Here is a 21,591-nt window from a genome sequence, read left to right as displayed (position 1 = left end):
ACCTTCCCGGTTCAAGTGATTCTCCTGCCTCAGCCCCACAAGTAGCTGGGATTACAGAAGTGCACTCCCACGCCCAGCTCATTGTTTCTGTATTTTTACAGAAAAACAGACAGGTTTCACCATGTTGGCCAGGCTGATCTCAACCTCCTCACCTCTGGTTATCTGTCGGCATCAGCTTCCAAAAGTGCTGGGATTACAAGTGTGAGCCGCCGCACCTGGTTTGCCCATTTTTTGACAATGTATCAACATCATCTAAGATGGGCACTGCCTCAGTGTAGTGTGTCTAGACAAGGTGGCCGGAACAGAGAGGAATATGCATACCAGGCTTAAAGACGGGTTAAATCAGAGCTTTTCATTCCACAAAAGAGCAATTTTAATGAAGTCAGAACATGGATGTTCTAATATTTGAAAGCCTGTTAACTAGGAGAGAGAGTAAAGTGATTTGTTGTAGGAGGACACACCCAGCTCTGACGGTTTAAAGCGTCATGAATGCAAATTTGAACTCCAGAAAAGCAGAGCTTCCTAACAATGGGACTTCCATAGCAATGGGATTTCCTTCCGCATTCAGTTTGTGCCTTTCCCATGAGCGAGAGACTCCTAGGAGAGCCGCAGCCCGTTAGGAAGCCATGTGGGAACTCATCCACAGGTTCTTTTTGTTTGTTTTTTTTTTTTTTTGAGATGTAGTTTTGCTCTTGTTGCCCAGGCTGGAGTGCAATGGTGTGACCTTGGCTCACTGCAACCTCCGCCTCCCAAGTTTAAGCCATTCTGCTGTCCCCGCCTCCTGAGTGGCTGGGATTACAGGCACCCACCACCATGCCTGACTAATTTTTTGTATTTTTAGAAGAGATGGGGTTTCACCATGTTGGCCAGGCTGCTCTTAAACTCCTGACCTCAAGCGATCCACCTGCTATGGCCTCCCAAAGCGCTGGGATTACAGGCGTGAGCCACTGTGCCTGGCCGGAACCCACAGGTTCTTTGGATGGTCTCTGAATGTCATGAAACTCTTTTATATTTAATTTAAAAAAATTTTTTGACACAAGGTCTTGCTGTGTTGCCCAGACTGGAGTGCGGTGTCACGATCACAGCTCACTGCAGCCCCTAACTCCTAGGCTCAAGCAATCCTCCTGCCACCTCAGTCTCTCAAGTTGTTGGAACACAGGTGCCAGCCACGACACCTGGCTAATTTTTTGTTTTGTTTTGTTTTGTTTTAGAGATGGGCTCTTGCTATGTTGCCTATACTGGTCTTGAACTGCTGGCCTCAGGCAGTCTTCCTCCCTTGGCCACCCAAAGAGATGGGATTACAAGCATGAGCCACTGTGCACAGCTGAGATTTTTCGACTTAGTCTTTTTGTACACCCAGTATCTTATAGAATATCCATAATATAGATTCATAAATAAACCATTTCCTTCAATGGTATAAATAAATAAACCACTGCTATAAATGGTGGAATTTTCTGAGTTAAGAGCAATACATATGATACAAAACTTGATATATAGAGTTTCTTAGCCAAACTGGAGGGGCTGGCTTTAGGTGATCCGTGGACTCCCTGAAATTGGGGACACCATTGGAAATATGTGTGAACTCATGGGCAGTTTCCTATGATTTCCAGTCCTCAAAATATCTCTTGGACTCAAAGATGCCTTAGGGCAGAGGACGCGTGTACCCCCAGTACAGAATCTCGGACAGTGAATGTCAGTAGACACTCGGCAGAAAACCTCTGCCAAATTGAGTGCTCTGATGTGACTTTTTCATCAAGTCAATGTTCCTGGGATCTCTTGTACATGATAATCTCACTCTTGTAAGGTTTCATCGTTTCTGCTTACCCTACTTTTCTTTCCCATCCTGATCCCTCTCCCACCAGACTGGACTCTGAAACGGGCATGTACAGAGAAGAGGAGACCCCAACACGCTTCAAGCTTTGAGTGGAGAGGACACAGCCTCTGCTGGGACAGGGAACAGAGGGATGCGGAGACCCTGAAGATGCTTTTGGACAGTGGTCTGAGGTTGGGACAGTGGCAGGAGATACCATTCACCCAGGATCTCCAGGACAAGAGATCAGCCTGGCAGTTACATGTGTTTTTTTTCAAACTGGTTGCCAGGTTGGCATGAGCGATGACATCAGAGATTCCGACCTTCCTGATTGGAGGGACCGGACTCTGTCGGCACCTGGGAGTTCAGTTGGACAACAGTAACTTCTCAGAGCTGTTCTCCACTCCTGACTTCTCCCAGCCTCGAGAATTGATAACACACTCTTCTGGATCCCAGCAGTGTCCAGAAGAAGACCAAGGACAGAACAGAGACTAGGTTTGGTGAGATGGGACAGATTTTGGGAAAGATCATGATGAGCCATCAACCGCAGCCCCAGGAAGAGCGGAGCCCCCAGCGGAGCACCTCAGGGTACCCCCTCCAGGAGGTGGTGGATGATGAAGTGTCGGGACCATCAGGTGAGGGGACTGGAGGAAGAAGAGGTGGCATAGGATTGACTAAGATGAAGGAAGGGGGCCAGGCGTGGTGGCTCACCCCTGTAACCCCAACACTTTGGGAGGCTGAGGCGGGCAGATCACCTGAGGTCAGGAGTTCAAGACCAGCCTGGCCAACATGGTGAAACCCCATCTCTACTAAAAGTACAAAAATTAGCCAGGCGGTAGTGGTGTGTGCCTATAATCCCAGCTACTTGGGAGGCTAAGACAGGAGAATCACTTGAGCCTGGGAGGAAGAGGTTGCAGTGAGCCGAGATCGTGCTACTGCACTCCAGTCTGGGTGACAGAGTGACATGCTATCTCAAAAAAAAAAAAAAAAAAAAAGAAGAAACAAAAGAAGGGTCAGAGGTCAGGAAGGAGAACCTGGGGAGGGTGTGTGGGAAGAATGGAGAAATTCAGGCTGGGTGCAGTGGCTCACACTTGTAATCCCAGCACTTTGGGAAGCCAAGGCAGGCAGATCACTTGAGGCCAGGAGTTTGAGACCAGCCTGGCCAACATGGTGAAACCCTGTCTCTATTAAAAGTACAAAATTGAGCTGGGCATTATGGCAGGCACCTGTAATCCCAGCTACCTGAGAGGCTGAGGCAGGAGAATAAATGGAATCCGGGAGATGGATGTTGCAGTGAGCTGAGATTGCACCACTACACTCCAGCCTGGGTGACAAAGCAAGATTCTGTCTCGAAACAAAAAAAAAAAAAAAAAAAAAGAGGGACTCAGAGAGCCAGGGACCAGGGAAGGATATGAGGCAGTGTTCTGAGGACAGAGAGAGGGAAGAATGGGGAGGGGAAGGAGTGGCACATGGGGTTGAGCAGAGGAGAAAGTCAGAAAGGTGGCTTGGAGAAGCCAGCAGTCTGCGAGGCTGGGGAGGATGGAGAGTGGTTTGGGGTTTGGGGTCGGGGTCTAACGTGATCAGTTGCAGAAGCATTACACGGTGGCCTGGTTTCTTTACTCAGCCCCTGGGGTAGATCCCAGCCCCCCACGTAGGTCCCTTGGCTGGAAAAGGAAGAGGGAATGTTTGGATGAATCTGATGATGAGCCAGAGAAGGAGCTCGCCCCTGAGCCTGAGGAGACCTGGGTGGCGGAGACGCTGTGTGGCCTCAAGATGAAGGCGAAGCGACGGCGAGTGTCGCTCGTGCTCCCTGAGTACTACGAGGCCTTCAACAGGCTGCTTGGTAGGAGGACACCCCAGAGAGCACCTCCAATCCTGTTCTTTCTAAAGAGGAAACTTCCAATAACCACACTTTTCCAATGGGAAAAATATGCCCCAGTGGGTGAGCTCTCCATGCGGGAGGACTCTGAAGTGATCACTCATGAGGGACACTTAGGAGACAACAGAGGATTAGGTAGACTTGATAAAGGTCGGTGCTTGGGATAAGAAAGCTTGGTTTTGGGCCAGGCGCTGTGGCTCCCGCCTGAGATCCCAGCACGTTGGGAGGCTGAGGCAAGAGGATTGCTTGAACTCAGGACTTTGAGGCTGCAGTGAGCTATGACTGCACCACTGCACTCCAGCCTGGGTGACAGAGCAAAACTCTGCGTCAAAAGAAAAACCAAGGCTGGGCACAGTAGCTCATCCCTGTAGTTCCAGCTACTCGGGAGGCTGAGACAGGAGAACTGCTTAAACCCAGGAGGCAGAGGTTGCAGTGAGCCAAGATCAGGCCAATGCATTCCAGCCTGGCCCACAGAGCAAGACTCTGTCTCAAAATAAATTAATAAATAAATAAAAATAAAAATCAAATAAAGAAAAACAAAATCAAAAATCAAAAAAGTGGTTTCAGCTGTGCCCTCTGAAACTTAATGTTTCTTACTGACTTTTCTAAACCTAAGTGTTTCCATCCATAGTGAGGGATACCAAGGCCATGGTCACACCCTGATGTGTGACTGTCTCATGAGGAAATGATGGGAATTCCTTTATGACTCTGCAGTGGTCCCTCCGTGTCTGCTGGAGGGGGTCCTGGCTGATTCCCAGCTCTACATCCTGTAGATTCTCACACCCAGGGCCTCCTTCGGCCTCTTCTCAGGGGAGTCTCAGAGCAGGAGCCTCTCTCCCTTGCCCAGTGAAAGTCATTCTCCCCTCTCCCATCCACCTCACCCGCAGCCACAATCCTGAGACTTTCCCCCGGGAGGCACACTTCTCCTCGCTGCCCTGCTGCTCTCAGGGAAACCCTGTCCTGCTTCTCACACTGACATCTGCTCTCTAATCACAGAGGATCCTGTCATTAAAAGACTCCTGGCCTGGGACAAAGATCTGAGGGTGTCGGACAAGGTAAGGTTGTTCTCTATGTAACTGTGTTCCTGTTCTAACGCACGGCCAGGGAGAGGGCGCAGCTTCCAAACCCACAGTTCTCCGTCCACCACCTCCCACCAGATGCTCCTACAGTTTTTTTTTGTTTTTGTTTTTGTTTTTTTTTGTGAGACACAGTCTTGCTCTGTTGCCCAGGCTGGAGGGCAGTGTCTCGATCTTGACTCACTGCAGCTGATGCCTCCTGGGTTCAAGCGATTCTCCCACCTCAGCCTCCAAGCAGCTGGGATTACAAACATGAACCACCATGCCTGGCTAATTTTTGTGTTTTTAGTAGAGACGGGGTTTTGCCATGTTGGCCAGATTGGTCCCGAACACCTGACCTCAGGTGATCCACCCGCCTTGGCCTCCCAAAGTGCTCAGATTACAGACGTCAGCACTGTGTCTGACCAGCTCCCATGGTCTTGAGTCTTGGCACCCACACATTTTTTTTTCTGAGACAGAGTCCAGCTCTGCTCCCCAGGATGGAGTACAGTGGCATGATCATAGCTCACTCTAATTCCTGGGCTCAAGCAATCTTCTTTCCTTAGCCTCCTGAGGAGCTGGGACTAGGCACATGCTACCATGCTCAACTCATTTTTGAAATCTTCTTAGAAACAGGGTCTCGCTGTGTTGCCCAGGTTGTTCTCCAACTGTTGGGCTCACATGATCCTCCTGTCTCCACCTCTCAAAAAGTACTGGGATCACAGGCTTGAGCTGCCACTCCCGGCTATTCTTTGTCTTTTTATGATTTGTCAGCATCTCCGTCAGGATTCTGCTGGTCTCTTGCAGAGTGAATGAGTGGCCCCTGCCTCTCCTATGGGTCCTTTGGGATCTGAGCCCTGGGCCACAGTCTGGCTGCAGCCCTGAAGCTCCTGGGCCCTCTACTCTCAGCTCCTTGGGACAGTTCTCTGCCTGGCACACAAAAGACCCTCCTGACACCAGCCGACCTAGACACACCCCCTCCAAAGATCCCATCGGAGCCCACCATCCTGGGAGCATCACCGAAAACCCTTCCTCCGGCTTCTCGGATTTGCATCCGACCTTCGAATACCCCTCCACCCCGCAATTTCCACATGAGCACAGTCACCCCAACACTGAGGTCCCTTCTCTGATGGGCAACCCCTCCCCAGACCCCCATTCCACTATATCCACAATCTTCCTCTCCCAAGATGTGACCTCTCCCTCTCTGTGTTCCTTTCTCTCCATCAGTATCTCCTGGCTATGGTCATAGCGTATTTCAGCCGGGCCGGCCTCCCCTCCTGGCAATACCAACGCATTCATTTCTTCCTGGCTCTGTGAGTGGTTTGCTGCCTCCTATCCGTCAATATCCAATGCCCTGGGACAGCGGGGGAAGTGGGATTCCAGCCTTTCATTTATTCTTTCACCTATTTGTCCTCTTTACTCTGTGTACAAAAAAGACAGGATTATAGTCTCAAAAAAAAAAAAAAAAAAAAGAACAAAAAACAAAAGGAACCATGAACCGCTCCTAAGGGGAGAAGAAAAGGAGCGGAGGAGCGGACATGACACTTCCCCCAGCAAGCAGACGTTTCCGGTTGTTCTCTCTCTCTCCTTCCCACATCAACCGCAAAAGCCATCAGCCTCCTCCGGGTTCCCGTGACAGAGGTCACAGTCCAGGTCCCCCTTGCATCACTCGAATCCACTGTCAAATGCTCCCTGCTGGGGTTTCCTGGAGTCTCTCCCCAAGCCAAGGGGCTTCCTAGTGCAGCCTGAACATCTTTCCAAAGCACGACAACCTCACTGCCCACCTGAACAACTTCCTTAGCTGATGTCTTTCTCTATCGAGGCCAGGGTCCACAGTGCCAATTCCACCCTCTCTACAATCTCTACAACCACACTGGCTCGCCATCTTGGTGTTTCCTGGCTTGGCTTCACTGCTCCTTCCAAATGCCCTCCACTTGACTTTGCATTTGTGTTTTCTGTCTGGGTGTCCCGCACACATGTGGCTCTGAAGGGAAGGACCCATTCCTTGAAGTCGGTTCACCTCACAGCCTCTGTGATGCCTTCCCTCGTCTTCCAACTTCTGCATGCCCGTAGCTCTCCAGTTACATCCTATTATAATGTGACATTGGGATTAGGTCATCTCCCCTGATTACTCCCAGTCCCATTAGACTAGATGCCTGTAGAAGGCAGGGTCCTGGCAAAATATCAGTGTATTCAATTGCTTTTTTTTTTTTGAGACAGACTTGCCCTGTCCCCTAAGCTGGAGTGCAGTGGTGAGATCATAGCTCACTGCAGCCTCCATATCCTGGGCTCAAGCGATCCTCCCACCTCAGCCTCTTGATTAGCTCCGACTACAGGGCTGTACCACCACACCTGGACAGTTATTTATTTATTTATTTATTTATTTATTTATTTATCAAGACAAGAGTGTTGCTGTGTCTCTCAGGCTGGAATGGAGGGGCCCAATCTTGGCTCACTGCAACCTCCGCCTCCTGGGTTCACACAATTCTTATGCTTCAGCCTCCTGAGTAGCTAGGACTAATGGGTGTGCCACCGCACCAGGCTGATTTTTGTATTTTTAGTATAGATGGGGTTTCTCTGTGTTGACCAGGCTGGTCTCAAACTCCTGGTCTCAAGCAATCCACCTGCTTCAGCCTTCCAAAGCGCTGGGATTACAGGCATGAGCCACGTCTGGCGTATTTTTTATATTTTTAATAGAGACGAGGGTCTTGCTATGTTGCCCAGGCCTGTCTCAAACTCCTGGCCTCAAGTGATCCTCCTGCTTCGGCCTCCCAGTGTGCTGGGATTCCAGGCATAAGCCACCACTCTTGGTCACCAGTTGGGTTTTTGTCTCCATCCTGAAGGAGTGGGAGACGCCCTTGATCAGGTCTCTGTCCAGCAGAGCCCTCCTGAGGAAGGCGTGGCTCTCTGCAGGGTGGGTGCCAGTCCTGAGCTAGGGACGGTCCCTTACCTTCCTCTCTGAGAAGCTGACCTCAGCCGGAGGTCTCTCCTGGTGGTGCCCCTGAGCAGCAACCTGATTTCTGTCCTCAGCTATCTGGCCAATGACATGGAGGAGGACGACGAGGCCCCCAAACAAAACATCTTCTACTTCCTGTACGAGGAGACCCGCTCTCATATACCCTTGCTCAGTGAGCTTTGGTTCCAGTTATGCCGTTACATGAACCCGAGGGCCAGGAAGAACTGCTCTCAGATAGCCTTGTTCCGGAAGTATCGGTTCCACTTCTTTTGTTCCATGCGCTGCAGGGCTTGGGTTTCCCTGGAGGAGTTGGAAGAGGTGGGTGGGGCCTGGGGACGTGGAGGATGTGGGGAGGAATCGGGTGGGCTGGAGGCTGGACGAGGGGAGAGAGGGGTATCCTGGGGAGTCCCCGTCTTCTCAAAGCGCGTTTGTTTTTCCAGATCCAGGCTTATGACCCAGAGCACTGGGTGTGGGCGCGAGATCGCGCCCACCTTTCCTAGAGCTCCAGGGACCGTGGAGGCCTGAGGTCATCGGCCTGAGAGAAGGTACATCTGCATCCTCCGGGGTAAAGGCAGAATATTGGGGTCTATTTCGGAAATCCAAGGAACCCAATTGCTTGATCTGGCTTCAAGCCTGGGCAACGTGGCGAGATCCCCTCTCCACAAAAATACAAAAATTAGCCAGGCGATGTGGGAGGCATCTCTACTCCCAACTACTCAGGAGGCTGAGGCGGGAGGATCGCTGGAGCCTGGGAGGTCGGGGCTGCAGGGAGCCCTGATCCTGCCACTGCACTCCAGCCCGGGCGACAGAGTGAGACCCTGCCTCAAAAATAATCATAAATACTGAGTTCGGGGAGGTTCATTATGATTGATGCACTTGAGTTACCGATTTGGGTCGAGGGTTCAGTGAAGCTTTGGTTTACATCTTGTGCAGCTAACCATGTTGAGCACAGAGCATGAGACTTCGTCATGAGGAGGGAGGATTATGGATTAGGCTTCTGGACTCGTGGTTCGTGATGTTGTCACGTTAGAAGCAGATCTAGCACGGTTACAAGTTTAGATCTGAAGTGACACAAAAGGCCCCAGCTGTGATGAAGTCCAAAGCCACATTCTCTGAGGGTGCCCTACTCCCTGGGAAGACCCACCCAAAGTCCTGGCTATGAAGCAGATCACTGGGGCTGACCTTGGGTGTATTAAGTTTTGGAGTCAGGGTCACCAAAGTGTGAGTTTCACAGTTGAACACGATGGTTCAGAAGCAGGGTATAGAATGAAAGGCAGGAGATAAAATTGCACTTCTCAATTGCTCTGAACTCTAGCTAGACTTGACATGGGACGTGAATAACCTTCCTGTCTAGAGAGCTGCCTCCTTGAAGTGTGACATTGTCTCTCTCACTTCCAGAACACCGGACCCAGGGGAGATGTGGATTTTCAGCAGGAACTTTATTCCAATGCTAATGGCAGACATCAGGAAGGAGGAGAGGAACCATTTGTGCAGATCATCTAGAAGAACCTGGACCATTCTTGATGGAGCTGAATACAGTGATCACGTTGTCCTCCAAGGAGCAGGGGTGGGGTGGGGTACTTCTAGGAGTCCTTGGAGAAAAGTAAGAAACCAGGAGTGTTTCCAGTTCCACCCTTTCCTGCGGCACCACCTCCCTTTTTATATTGCTGAATGCCAACCTCCCTGGGGCGGAACCTGGAGGTCCTGTTTCTTATGGACTTGGTTGCCACAGTCCAGGAGCATTTGAAGGCACAGTGCAAGGGCTCAGATTGGCACAGAATTCTTTGTGAAATATGAGTGCCACAGACTGTAACAGATAGCTTCATGCACACTATGCATTTTATTGGTTTGTTTGGAAAATGTTGGCCATTGAATTATTAATAGGTTTATTTCAAATAGTTTGGAAATTGTTGTACTTTTGAAAACATGCTGTTCCTGTAGAGTTTTTTGATGAGAGTTATAGTTGTTATATATACATAAAGATAATTTTCTTTTCATTTTTAAGTGAGAATTCTTTTTATCCTAAATCTTTTATTATCTTTAAATTTTTTTCTGTATTATTATATGTGCTCCTGAAGCGAGCACTCTTTTTATCTATGATACTTCCATAATAATCTCTTCTATTTATAGCTATTGGTAGTTCCCCACCAGAAAAAAACATAATTCTGGTGATAGAAATTTTTATTTGCTGTTTAGGTTTGTGACTGAATTGTGAGAATTCAGTTGTGATTTTTAACATGTCTCAGATATATATACTAACACGTCTAATGTATACTATCTATTTTATTGGTTTATTTTGAAAAACATGGGTACAGAATTATTTAAATATTATTTTATTTATTGAAATATTTATTAAATATATTTATTTATTTAAATATTATTATTACTTTAAATATTATTTTAAATATTTTGGAAATACTGGTATTTTTGAATAGATGCTGTTTCTATAAAGCTGTGTGATGGGTGTTATAACTGTTGTATACACATACATATAATTTTGTTTTCCTTTTTAAGAGAGGATTCTTTTCATCCTAAATCTTTTACCTTTCAATCTTTGTATCTATTATTACACGTGCTGCTGAAGGGAGCATGGTTTTTATCTATGATACTTAGTTAACATATATATTACATTTATAGCTATGTGGTAGTTCCCCTAAATTCTTGTAAAAATAAATTTTTATTTGATATTTAGTGTATGTTTGAAATGTGAGAATTCAGATGGAATTTTTTATCTTGTTTTGGCATGTTTGTATGTTACTTTAAAGAGGATGTGTGTTCTAAAGGAGGACATGAGCTGTGTGTTTTCAAGAGAACAGTGCAGTGCATCTCTTGGGGAAACATAATAAAGATGAACTTTTCTCACCTTCACAGTGAGTGTGATCATATTGTGGTCTGGATTGATTATTTGCTGTCAAGTGACATTTTTCCTTAATGGGGTTGTGGTTATTTGAACATATTTATTAGCTTTGGAAGATAATCCTGTGCTGTTTTTTATGTAGAAAAAAACATACGGCTGGGTGCAGTGCTCACACCTACAATCCCAGCAGTTTTGGAGGTCATGGCGGGAGGATCACTTGAAGCCTATTTTTAATTTTTATTTTTTAAAGAAAAACAATAGAAGAGAAGGCTGATCCCAAGCTACAGGGTTTTTTTGTTTGTTTGTTTGTTTTGGAGACAGTCTCGCTCTGTCTCCCAGGCTGGAGTGCAGTGGCACAACCTCGGCTCCCTGCAACTTTCACCTCCGCGTTCAAGCAAATTCTCCTGCCTCAGCCTCCCAAGTAGCTGGGACTACAGGCATCCGCCTGTACGTCTGACTAACTTTTGTAAAAATAGTAGAGACAAGGTTTCACCATGTTGGCCAGGCTGGTCTCAAACTCCTGACCTCAAGTGATCCACCCGCCTCAGTCTCCCAAAGTGCTGGGATTATAGGCATGAGCTACTGTGCCCAGACCCCAAGCTAGAGTTTTAAAGCAGGAAATGAGAGAAAGATATTGAGAGAGGAAAACCAGGTGGTAAGAAAACTCTAAAGGTGGCTGGGCGTGGTGGCTCACGCCTGTGATCCCAGCAGGAGTTCGAGACCAGGCAGGAGAATCACTAGCAGAGAATATGTCTCCCCAACCCCTCTCAAAAAAAAAAAAAAAAAAAAAAAGTCCAGGTGCGGTGGCTCAGGACTGTAATCCCAGCACTTTGGGAGGCTGAGGTGGGCGGATCATGAGGTCAGGAGATCAAGACCATCCTGGCTAATACGGTGAAACCCCATCTCTGCTAAAAATACAAAAAATTAGCTGGGCGCGGTGGCAGGCGCCTGTAGTCCCAGCTACTCCGGAGGCTGAGGCAGGAGAATGGTGTGAACCCAGGAGGCGGAGCCTGCAGTGAGCAGAGATCGCGCCACTGCACTCCAGCCTGGGTGAAAGCGCGAGACTCCATCACAAAAGAAAAAAAAAAAAAAAGAAAAAAAGAAAGTTCCTGCAACAGTTCAAGCTGTGAAAGACAGGCACTCTGCCATGCAATTCTTTGTGATTTTTCTTTTTTATTTTTGGAGTCGGGGTCTTGTGCTGTCACCCAGACTGGGGTGCAGTGGTGCGGTCATAGCTCACTGTGGGCTCAGACTCAAGCTCAAGCAATCTTCTTATCTTGCCTTTCTAATTCCTGGGATTATAAGCATGAGCCACTGCACCTGGCCTGTGTGACGTAATTCTGATGTCAACTCCCTGATGTTACATCAAATGCCACAGGTTAAGGCCACCAGCCCCCGCTAGGCTGCCCTCGCTTCAGATGCAGCTGCAAGCTTGGGTGTCCACAGACCGCATGTACTTCTCACCAACTGGCTGCAAATTTGGAGGTTCCCACCACGTCCTCAGGTTTGATAATACACCATAACAACCCACAGAACTCTGAAAAGCATGATACTTTCTCTTTCTTTATTTGAGACAGAGTCTTGCTCTGTCACCCAGGCTGGAGTGCAGTGGCCACCATGCTTGGCTAATTTTAGTATTTGTATTAGAGACAGGGTTTCGCCATGTTGGCCAGGCTGGTCTTGAACTCCTGACCTCAGGTGATCCGCCCACCTTGGCCTCCCAAAGTGCTGGGATTACAGGCATAGCCACTGTGCCTGGCTGACTTCTAGAGTTTCAATAACAGAGATGTGGTTCAAGAAGAAAAGGGAGACATGTTTTGTAGACAGCAGGAGCTTCATGAAAAGAAGCCAATGAAGGGCAGGACGTGTAGCTGTCTACCTACAGGAAACCAGCCAGGAGCCTCCCCACAGGGACTTCAGCACAGATGGCCGGGAAAATCTGCATTCACCTGAGCTCTGGACCTAAGAGAGGACAAGGCCTTGACTGTTTCTACAGACTCACAAGATGCAATCTCTGCGGTCCATGCCCGTGGTGTGATCTGGGAAACAGGGGGCCTTCTAAATGCCAACAACAAGGAAATCAAATGTGCAACAGACAGAAATACCGGCATTGACACGGGCCATGGAAAGGCCTAAACAGATGACTGCAGTCCACTGCCAAGGTCATCAAAGGGGTGACTCTGAAATAAGAAATTTCAGACGCCACGGCCCAAATAGCTGCACGAGGTGGGGAAGTCCTCCACATGCCTCTGCTTCCTTCAGTACCTCTTCATGAAATAAGCCGAGGTACTTCCCTGGGGGAATTTCCTTTCTCTTTCTTTCTTTCGAGACGGAGTCTTGCTCTGTCGCCCAGGCTAGAGTGCAGTGGCGCGATCTCGGCTCACTGCAACCTCTCCCTCCCGGGTTTTGGCAATTCTTCTGTCTCAGACTTCTGAGTAGCTGAGATTACAGGTGTGTGCCACCATGCCCAGCTAATATTTGTATTTTTACTCGAGACAGGGTTTCACCATCTAGGCCAGGCTGGTCTTGAACTCCTGACCTCGTGATCCACCCATCTTGGCCTCCCAAAGTCCTGGGATTACAGGCACGAGCCACCACACCCAGACTTCTTTTTTTATTTTTTGAGATGAAGTTTCGCTCTTGTTGCCCAGGCTGGAGTGCAATGGCGAGATCTCAGCTCACTGCCACCTCCTCCTCCCAGGTTCAAGTGATTATCCTGCCTCAGCCTCCCGAGTAGCTGGGATTACAGGCACCCAACACCAAACCCCGCTGACTTTTTGTATTTTTAGTAGAGATGGAATGTCACCATGTTGGCCAGGATGGTCTTGAACCCCTGACCTCTAATGATCTACCCGAATTGGTCTCCCAAAATGCTGGGATTACAGGCGTGAGCCACTGTGCCCAGCCCCTCCCATACCTCTTTTGGCCAAGGCAGTACAATTCAGAGAATCTTGCCAGGGAAGACTGGTAAATGGACATCAACATGATGCCTATGGCTCCTGGTGGATTTAGATACCTCCTGGTGCTTACTGATACCTTTACCAGTTACATGGGGGCTTTTCCATGCCAGACTGAAAATGCTGGAGATCACTGATCAACCTTCAACTATTTACTAGCAGAACACTGAGGGGACTCTGCAGTCACCAATATCTCCTATTGCACTTGGATAAACACCTCCCGGGAAATAGAGATGAATAGAAAGGAAATACTTAAACAAGCAGAATGGCTACATTCCTTCAACCAGAAGGGTCCATTAGTCTGTTTTCACACTGCTATGAAGAACTACTGGAAACTGGGGAATTTATGAAGAAAAGAGGTTTAATTGACTCACAGTTTTGCAGGCTGTACAGGAAGCATGGCTGGGGAGCCCTCAAGAAGCTGACAATCACGGCAGAAGGCGAAGGGGAAGCAGGCACGTTTCTGGCCATGGTGGAGCAGGAGAGACAGAGAGAGTGAAGCAGGAGGTGCTGCATGCTTCTAAACAACCAGATCCCATGAGCGCTCACTCACTATCACGAGACCAGCAAGGGGGACGTCAGCCGCCATGAGCCAATCATCTCCCACCAGGTCCCTCCCTCAACACTGGGAATTGCAATTTGACATGAGATTTGGTTGGGGATACAGAGCTGAACCATATCAAGGGTAGTTCAACCACTGAGATTGATTGATTGACTGAGATGGGGTCCTGCTCTGTTACCTAGGCTGGAGTGCAGTGGCACAATCTCGGCTCACTGCAACCTCCGCCTCCCAGGTTCAAGCAATTCTCCTGCCTCAGCCTCCCTAGTAGCTGGGACTACAGCACACGCCACCACACCTGGCTAATTTTTGTATTTTCAGTAGAGACGGGGTTTCACCATGTTTGCCCGGCTGGTCTTGAACTCCTGACCTCGTGATCACCCTGCCTCGGCTCTTCTTTTGCTGGAATTACAGGCGTGAGCCACCGCACCCGGACAACCACTGAGATTTAGAAGGCAGTCGAGTCCACTATACCACACCTCACCTGGTTTCTTCCTCTGTTGGGGCCCCTCGTGGCCACTGTTCCGTTACTTTTTGGTCCTATTTATTTAAATGGATGGTGAGCTGTTTGTCCTCCAGGATCCAACACTTCCACCTTCAGCTTGTATTACAACAATACCAGCCTTTCAAGCTACTCCGGGTGACCCCAGAACTCATCTGAACTCAGAAGCCCAAGAGTTTCATTCCTCTCACTTTAGGGGACTAAGTGCCCCTGGTCAGCATGAAGTCGATACAGAAGCATGACCTCCATCCCTAATCCCTCAAGAATGAGGAGTGGAAGGTGTTGGCAGGAGGGTGGGACGCGGTTTGTAAATCTGTAACTGCCATCAGACCAAATCTAGTTCAACTTTTTTTTTTTTTGATGGAGTTTCACTCTTGTCACCCAGGCTGGAGTGCAATGGCACGATCTCAGCTCACTGCAACCTCCACGTCCTAGGTTCAAGCATTCTGCTGCCTCAGCCTCTGGGGTAGCTGGGATTACAAGGGTGCGCCACCACGCCTGGCTAATATTTATATTTTTAGTAGAGACGGGGTTTCACCATTTTGGCCAGGCTGGTCTTGAACTCCTCGACCTCAGGTGATCCACCTGCCTTGGCCTCCCAAAGTGCTGGGATTACAGGCGTGAGTCACCGCACCCGAATCAGTTCAACTTTTATGTAATGAAGTTGTCAGTTGTTTTCCAATTGCCATCGACCTGCAGGTTGAAGGTCATGTACCCTGTGCATGCCCAGGTTAACCACGCGTGCCACCGTGGAGTGGAACCTAAGAGCTCAGCCTGAAGAGCTCGGACCGATTTAAGAACCAGACACCCCCAGGCAGGAGCCAGGATCCAATCAGATTGAGTTTTGGTGTCACCCCATGGCAGGATCCAGTCAGATCACACCTCCCAGCATTACTTTATTGCAAGATCCAATCAAATCACACCTCATTACCCTATGCTTATAAAACCTGACATAGCCCCCAGCTGTGTAAGGGAGATTTGAGTACTTCCTCCTGTGTTCTTGCTGGCTGACTTACAAAAAAGCTTTAAAAAAAAAAAAGCCAGGCGTGGTGGCTCACGCCTGTAACCCCAGCACTTTGGGAGGCTGAGGTGGGCAGATCACTTGAGGTCAGGGGTGCAAGACCAGCCTGGCCAACATGGTGAAACCCCATCTCTACTAAAAATACAAAAATTAGCTGGGTGTGGTGACACACACCTATAATCCCAGCTACTTGGGAGGCTGAGGTAGGAGAATCACTTGAACCCAGGAGGCGGAGGTTGCAGTGAGCCAAGATCACACCACTGCACTCCAGCCTGGGCGACAGAGTGAGAAGACTCCGTCTAAAAAAAAAAGTTAAAATTAGCACCAAACGCTTTACAAGTAAAAAAAGTTTTTAGCTGCATATGTTTAAGTAACTTTTTAGATTATAAGAAATACGCATGCAAAATGGAAAGGCACAAAGAAGAGAGCAAAAAGTGCATGAGATCTCACATCCAAGGATAACCGCTGAGAACATGGAAGTGCTGACTCTTCAGTCTTTATACTATACACATTTAGGCCTGTTTTGTTTTTATAAAACTGTAATCATATAATACAGACAGTTTTATAATCTGCTTTTTAAACACAACAATTATATAACATTTAGCTGTTTCATTTGCATTCAAATTCATAAGGGTTCCAGTAACTCATTTATCAGAAAACCAAGAGAAATATTCTCATAAAAATATAAGTACATAAGGTCAGGCATGGTGGCTCACGCCTGTAATCCCAGCACTTTGAGAGGCCGAGGTGGGCGGATCACCTGAGGGCAGGAATTCGAGACCAGCCTGGCCAGCCTGGACAACATGGTGGAACCCCGTCTCCACTGAAAATACAAAAATTAGCCGGGCGTGGTGGTGCGCGCCTGTAATGGTAGCTACTCAGAAGGCTGAAGCAGGAGAATCGCTTGAACTTGGCAGGTGGAGGTTGCAGTGAACTGAGATCGCGCCACTGCACTGCAGCCAGGGCGCCAAAGTGAGACTCCATCTCAAAAAAAGATAAAAATAAAAAATAAAAAAAATGTATATATATGTATATATATTTTTCCAGACAGGGTCTTACTCTGTCTCACAGTCTGAAGTGTAGTGACGCAATCATAGCTCACTGCAGTCTCAAGTTCCTGGGCTCAGGTGATCCTCCCACTTCAGCCTCCCAAGTAGCTGGAACTACAGGTGCATGCCACCATGCCCAGTCAGTTTTTTTTTTAATTTTTCATAGAGACAGAGTCTCACTATGTTTCCCAGTCCTAATAAACATTATGTGATAAAAAGAAAAAAGTAAATCATCCTGAAGTTAAGTCTTTAATGAGAAATGCAAATAAAGCATTTCTCAATAAATTATGGGAAGAGAATCAACTGAAGAATAAACATCTTTAGTAAATCTTTTGCTCGTGTGCATTAACCAATACTCTTGAAAACCAGGATTAATTTACTGTACCTTCTTAATATTCCTTTGAAATTCCTTATGGCGCACAGGTAGCGTAGAAAATAACTGCTTCACGCTGACTGTGGTCCCTCTGGGGTGGGGGTAGGGGGTTTTCTGGATGATTTTCCCATCGTGATCAAACACCAGTCGAGTCCCAACCTTCGCCGATACGTGGCAGGTAGAAATGGTGACATCACTGTGAGAGAATACCAGGCATGGTGTGTTCAGTGAGAGATCCGTGATGTTGGGCACTGACTACTCTTTTCTTCACTTGCTTTTCTCTCAAAATTTTCTTAAAAAGCTGATGATCCCTCTGAGATAACCGAGATCTAAACGGTTGAGGAGTCATCACAAAATCTAAGGTCTGGCATCTAAAAGACAGTGAGACAGAGAGCACTAAACATGCTTTGTTTTGATAAAAGCTCTGACTTCATTTTTCAGGTTGAATTGCAAAACCATAAATGATCTCAAGATTTATTGATTCTCAAATAGAGATTTGTTTTGTTATTACTCTTCAAACAAAATTTTTTAAAAGAATTTTTTTAAAGAATTTTTTAAAATTTTTAAAAATTTTTTTAAAGAATCCAAAAGATATAATAATTAAAATGTATATGTAGGGCAGGGTGCGGTGGCTCGTGCCTGTAATTCCAGCACTTTGGGAGGCCAAGGAGGGCAGATCACTTGAGGCCTGGAGTTCCAGACCAGCCTGGGCAACATGGCAAAACCCCATCTCTACTAAAAATACAAAAATTAGCCAGGAGTGGTGGTGCACGCTATAGTCCCAGCTCTTCAGGAGGCTGAGTCACGAAAGTCACTTGAACCTGGGAGGCAGAGACTGCAGTGAGCTGAGACTGTGCCACTGCACTCCAGCCTGGGTGACAGAGTGCGACTCTGTCTAAAAAAATATATATATATATGTATATATATATGTATATATATGTATATATGTATATATATGTATATATGTATATATATGTATATATGTATATATGTACATATATGTATACATATATGTATATATATGTATATATGTATATATGTATACACATATGTATATATGTATATATATGTATATATGTATATATATGTATACACATATGTATATATGTATATATATGTATACATATATGTATATATGTATATATATGTCTATATGTATATATATATATGTATATATGTATACATATATGTATATATATGTATATATATGTGTGTGTGCATGTAATTATTTATAAAAATTTAGTATCTGTGCTATAATTAAATAGTGCTTTGGTGAAATGTTTCCCTAAAAATTGATAATGAAAACCAATGGTAACTATCATTTATTATCTATATGTTATGTTCAAATTGAGAAGTTACTGTTTTAATAAGGGTAACCAATTTTTTAAACAATACTATTTGCTTCATTTCATTCATTTATTGCTCACATTTCAGAAGTACTAGGACTTAGATTGGCAGTGAGACAAAACAGAATTCAGAAGCTAGAAGCTGAGATATTGAGATAGAAAATTGTAAATAATAATGATTCCAATTAATTTTCAGAGAGGTTTTTCTAAGGGGTCAAGTGAATGGATAAAAATATTTTATCACCTCAGTGCACAAAGTGAGCTCAGAGCTTTCCCCCGAAAGCCAAAAGTTTCAACCCGAGTTAGGTCGGCAAACTCTTGAATCTTAGATGTGTGATGTTTCAGAGCTGAAAGAGACTGTAAAGTAAGGACTAAGATATCTCAAGTGCTATAACAACAAATATACATGATATCTAGTAACTGGCTTTAAAAAACTGTTTTTGTGTTTCCCAAGACAGTGTTACTCAAAATTCTAAGACATGTGGCCCAATTATTTTATAATAGGATTAGAAAGTTAACTTACTTAAGCCTTCGAAGTTTTCTTCTTCTACCCCACATCCATTGCCTGAAACTTCAATGAGATCCATTCCATAGTCCTTAAGCTTTAGATCTAGAAAGTTTAAAATATTTATATATTTATTAAAAATGGACCCACGCTATCAGTTTTTATATTGATATTATTTATAACGTGCAAATTTAAGTGTCGTAACTATACCTTTAGTTAAACATACTAGTGTCATTTTGTATATTTCATTTTTATAAAGTTCTTTCTGGCCATTTACTAGCCCAGATTAAATAGTTTAGCATTTTCTTTCTTTCCTCTTTTTTTTTTTTTTCCTTACACTAGTCAAGTGAAGCAGTTGGAGTGGAGAAGGAACAAAAAAATCTGTAACTGGTTGTGATCAATTAGTTGTAAAGACCGTTGCACTTTGACCAGCCTTTTCCTTTGAAAGAAATAATTTTAACATACCCAGTAAGGAGAACGGGGGCCGGGCGCAGTGGTTCATGCCTGTAATCCCAGCACTTTGGGAGACCAAAGCGAGCGGATCACCTGAGGTCAGTAGTTCGAGACCAGCCTGACCAACGTAGAGAAACTCTATCTCTACTAAAAATACAAAATTAGCCAGGCGTGGTGGTGCATGCCTGTAATCCCAGCTACTTGTGAGGCTGAGGCAGGAGAATCGCTTGAACCTGGGAGGTGGAGGTTGCAGTGAGTTGAGATCGTGCCATTGCACCGCAGCCTCAGCAACAAGAGCAAAACTCTATCTCAAAAAAAAAAAAAAAGAAAAAAAAAACAGAACTGGTTCTGGAATCAGACTTCCTAGATTCTATTTTATTAGCTTTATAATCTCAAAAAAAGGAAATTTACTGTCCCTTAATTTCCTCAACTGTAAAATGGAGGTAATAAGTTCTATCTCATAAAGTTATTTGGCAGATTAATAATTTTTTTTTAATTTTGTCATTTTCTTTTTTTTCTTTCCTTTTTTTTTTTTTTTTTTTTAATTTTTTGAGATGGACTTTTGCTCTTGTCACCCAGGCTGGAATGCAGTGGCACAATCGATCTTGGCTCACTGCAACCTCCACCTCCCAGGTTTAAGCAATTCTCCTCCCTCAGCCTTCTGAGGAGCTGAGATTACAGCCATGCACCATCACATCTGGCTAATTTTTGTATTTTTAGTAGAGACAGGGTTTTACCACGTTGGTTAGGCTGGTCTTGAACTCCTGACCTCAAAGCATCAGCCCCCCTCAGCCTCCCAAAGTGCTGGGATTACAGATGTGAGCCACTACTCCAGGATTTATTTTATTTTATTTTATTTTATTTTTTTGAGACAGAGTCTTGCTCTGTCCCCAGGCTGGCGTGCAGTGGCACAATCTCGGTTCACTGCAACCTCCACCTCCCAAATTTAAACAATTCTCATTCCTGAGCCTCCCCAGTAGCTGGGATTACAGGCTTCTGCCACCAGGTCTGGCTAATTTTTGTATTTTTAGTAGAGACAGAGTTTCACCATTTTGGACAGGCTGGTCTCGAATTCCTGACCTCAGGTATCCACCCGCCTTGGCCTCCCAAAGTGCTGGGATTACAGGCGTGAGCCACCACACCCGGCCTGCTTTATTTTTTTAATAGAGATGAGGTCTCACCATGTTGGCCAGGTTGGTCTTGAACTCTGGCCTCAAGCAATCCCCCCACCTCAGCCTCTCAAAGGGCTAGGATTACAGGCGTCAGACACCACGCCCAGCTATTCTGCAAATTAAATGAGATATTTCTGTGCAATTCTTAGCATAACACCTGCCTGGCACACCATAAGAACACAAGAAAAGCTGTCGTTATTATTATTACTACCTAGCTAAGTACTAGGCACATAATAGGTGCTAACTTTAACTTAAAAATAATAGTTTATTACTACATCAACACTTGATAGTCTTATTTCAATAACAAATGTTTCTTGACTACAACAACACACACTAATCATTTCTTGTGGCTTAAAACTCTCCCAAACTTACCAATATTAGTGGCACCAGCATCCAGACTGTTTTCTACTAACTCCTTCACTGCAGTGCTTAGACTCAGTACCACTGGCCCAGAGCAAATCTGATGGACTGACTTCCGATCAATAGGTTTGATGGCCTTAGCAGGTTCTGTACTAAAGAAATCAGTTACAAGAAACAAAGCAAGTATTCAGCTATATATTTTCATCCTGATTTTAACTGTGGGAAATGACTCAACACTGTAAATAGTTTATGGGTCTAATCTGTTCAGTTATTATATTAACAAATACATTTATTATATCCAGAAATAGAAACACTGTTTTACAATCCTTAAACATGTACCCAAAATACTTCTGGATAGATACTTCAAATTCAACAGATCCTTACTATCTAGGATCCACATGGAGAAAACATACATTGTATCTCTCAAATTACCAAAACCTTTGGCAACAATGGTGTCTTCTTTCTTGAAAACTGAAAGCATGGCCTGGTGGGGTGGCTCATGCCTGTAATCGGCTAATTTTTGTATTTTTTTTTTAGTAGAGATGGGGTTTCACCACGTCGGCCAGGCTGGTCTTGAACTCCTGACCTCAAGTGATCCACCCGCCTCGGCCTCCCAAAGTGCTGGGATTACAGGCATGAGCCACTGCACCCGGCCCACCTGGATAACTTCTAAAAATATTTTATAGAGATTAGATGTTGGTATGTTTTATTTTGTTTTGCTTTTTTTGAGACAGAGC

At 45.7% G+C, this 21,591-nt stretch overlaps 1 protein-coding gene and 2 pseudogenes across 3 annotated transcripts in view; 1 reads left to right on the top strand and 2 right to left on the bottom strand.

Annotated features, from left to right (window-relative positions):
* The first annotated feature begins 524 nt into the window (after positions 1-524).
* SPDYE17 (speedy/RINGO cell cycle regulator family member E17) lies at positions 525-10,580 on the top strand. 2 transcript variants are annotated; one of them, NM_001351351.3, is made up of 8 exons: positions 525-646; positions 1,863-2,445; positions 3,435-3,653; positions 4,686-4,744; positions 5,972-6,057; positions 7,775-8,018; positions 8,141-8,245; positions 9,099-10,580. In NM_001351351.3, exons 2-7 carry the CDS (start codon positions 2,316-2,318, stop codon positions 8,198-8,200), a joined length of 798 nt encoding a protein of 265 aa, NP_001338280.1. In that variant the 5' UTR covers positions 525-646; positions 1,863-2,315; the 3' UTR covers positions 8,201-8,245; positions 9,099-10,580. The 2 variants fall into 2 exon arrangements, with proteins under 2 accessions (NP_001338280.1, XP_047275675.1); XM_047419719.1 differs by lacking the exons at positions 525-646; positions 9,099-10,580 and having other exon boundaries at positions 8,141-8,724.
* On the bottom strand, positions 7,332-21,439 carry PMS2P11 (PMS1 homolog 2, mismatch repair system component pseudogene 11; annotated as a pseudogene).
* Positions 9,125-21,591, bottom strand: part of DTX2P1-UPK3BP1-PMS2P11 (DTX2P1-UPK3BP1-PMS2P11 readthrough, transcribed pseudogene) — a 42,940-nt pseudogene continuing 30,473 nt past the window's right edge. The window contains exons 7-11 of the transcript NR_023383.1: positions 20,867-21,006; positions 18,888-18,974; positions 17,031-17,214; positions 13,889-13,977; positions 9,125-9,292 (exon numbers count right to left, since the gene is read on the bottom strand). The product of NR_023383.1 is annotated as a DTX2P1-UPK3BP1-PMS2P11 readthrough, transcribed pseudogene (transcript). The remainder of the gene's footprint in view (positions 9,293-13,888; positions 13,978-17,030; positions 17,215-18,887; positions 18,975-20,866; positions 21,007-21,591) is intronic.

Source organism: Homo sapiens, chromosome 7 (genome assembly GCF_000001405.40).
Source record: "Homo sapiens chromosome 7, GRCh38.p14 Primary Assembly".
Taxonomy (NCBI): Eukaryota; Metazoa; Chordata; class Mammalia; order Primates; family Hominidae; genus Homo; species Homo sapiens.
This window is presented reverse-complemented; position numbering and strand designations above follow the sequence as displayed.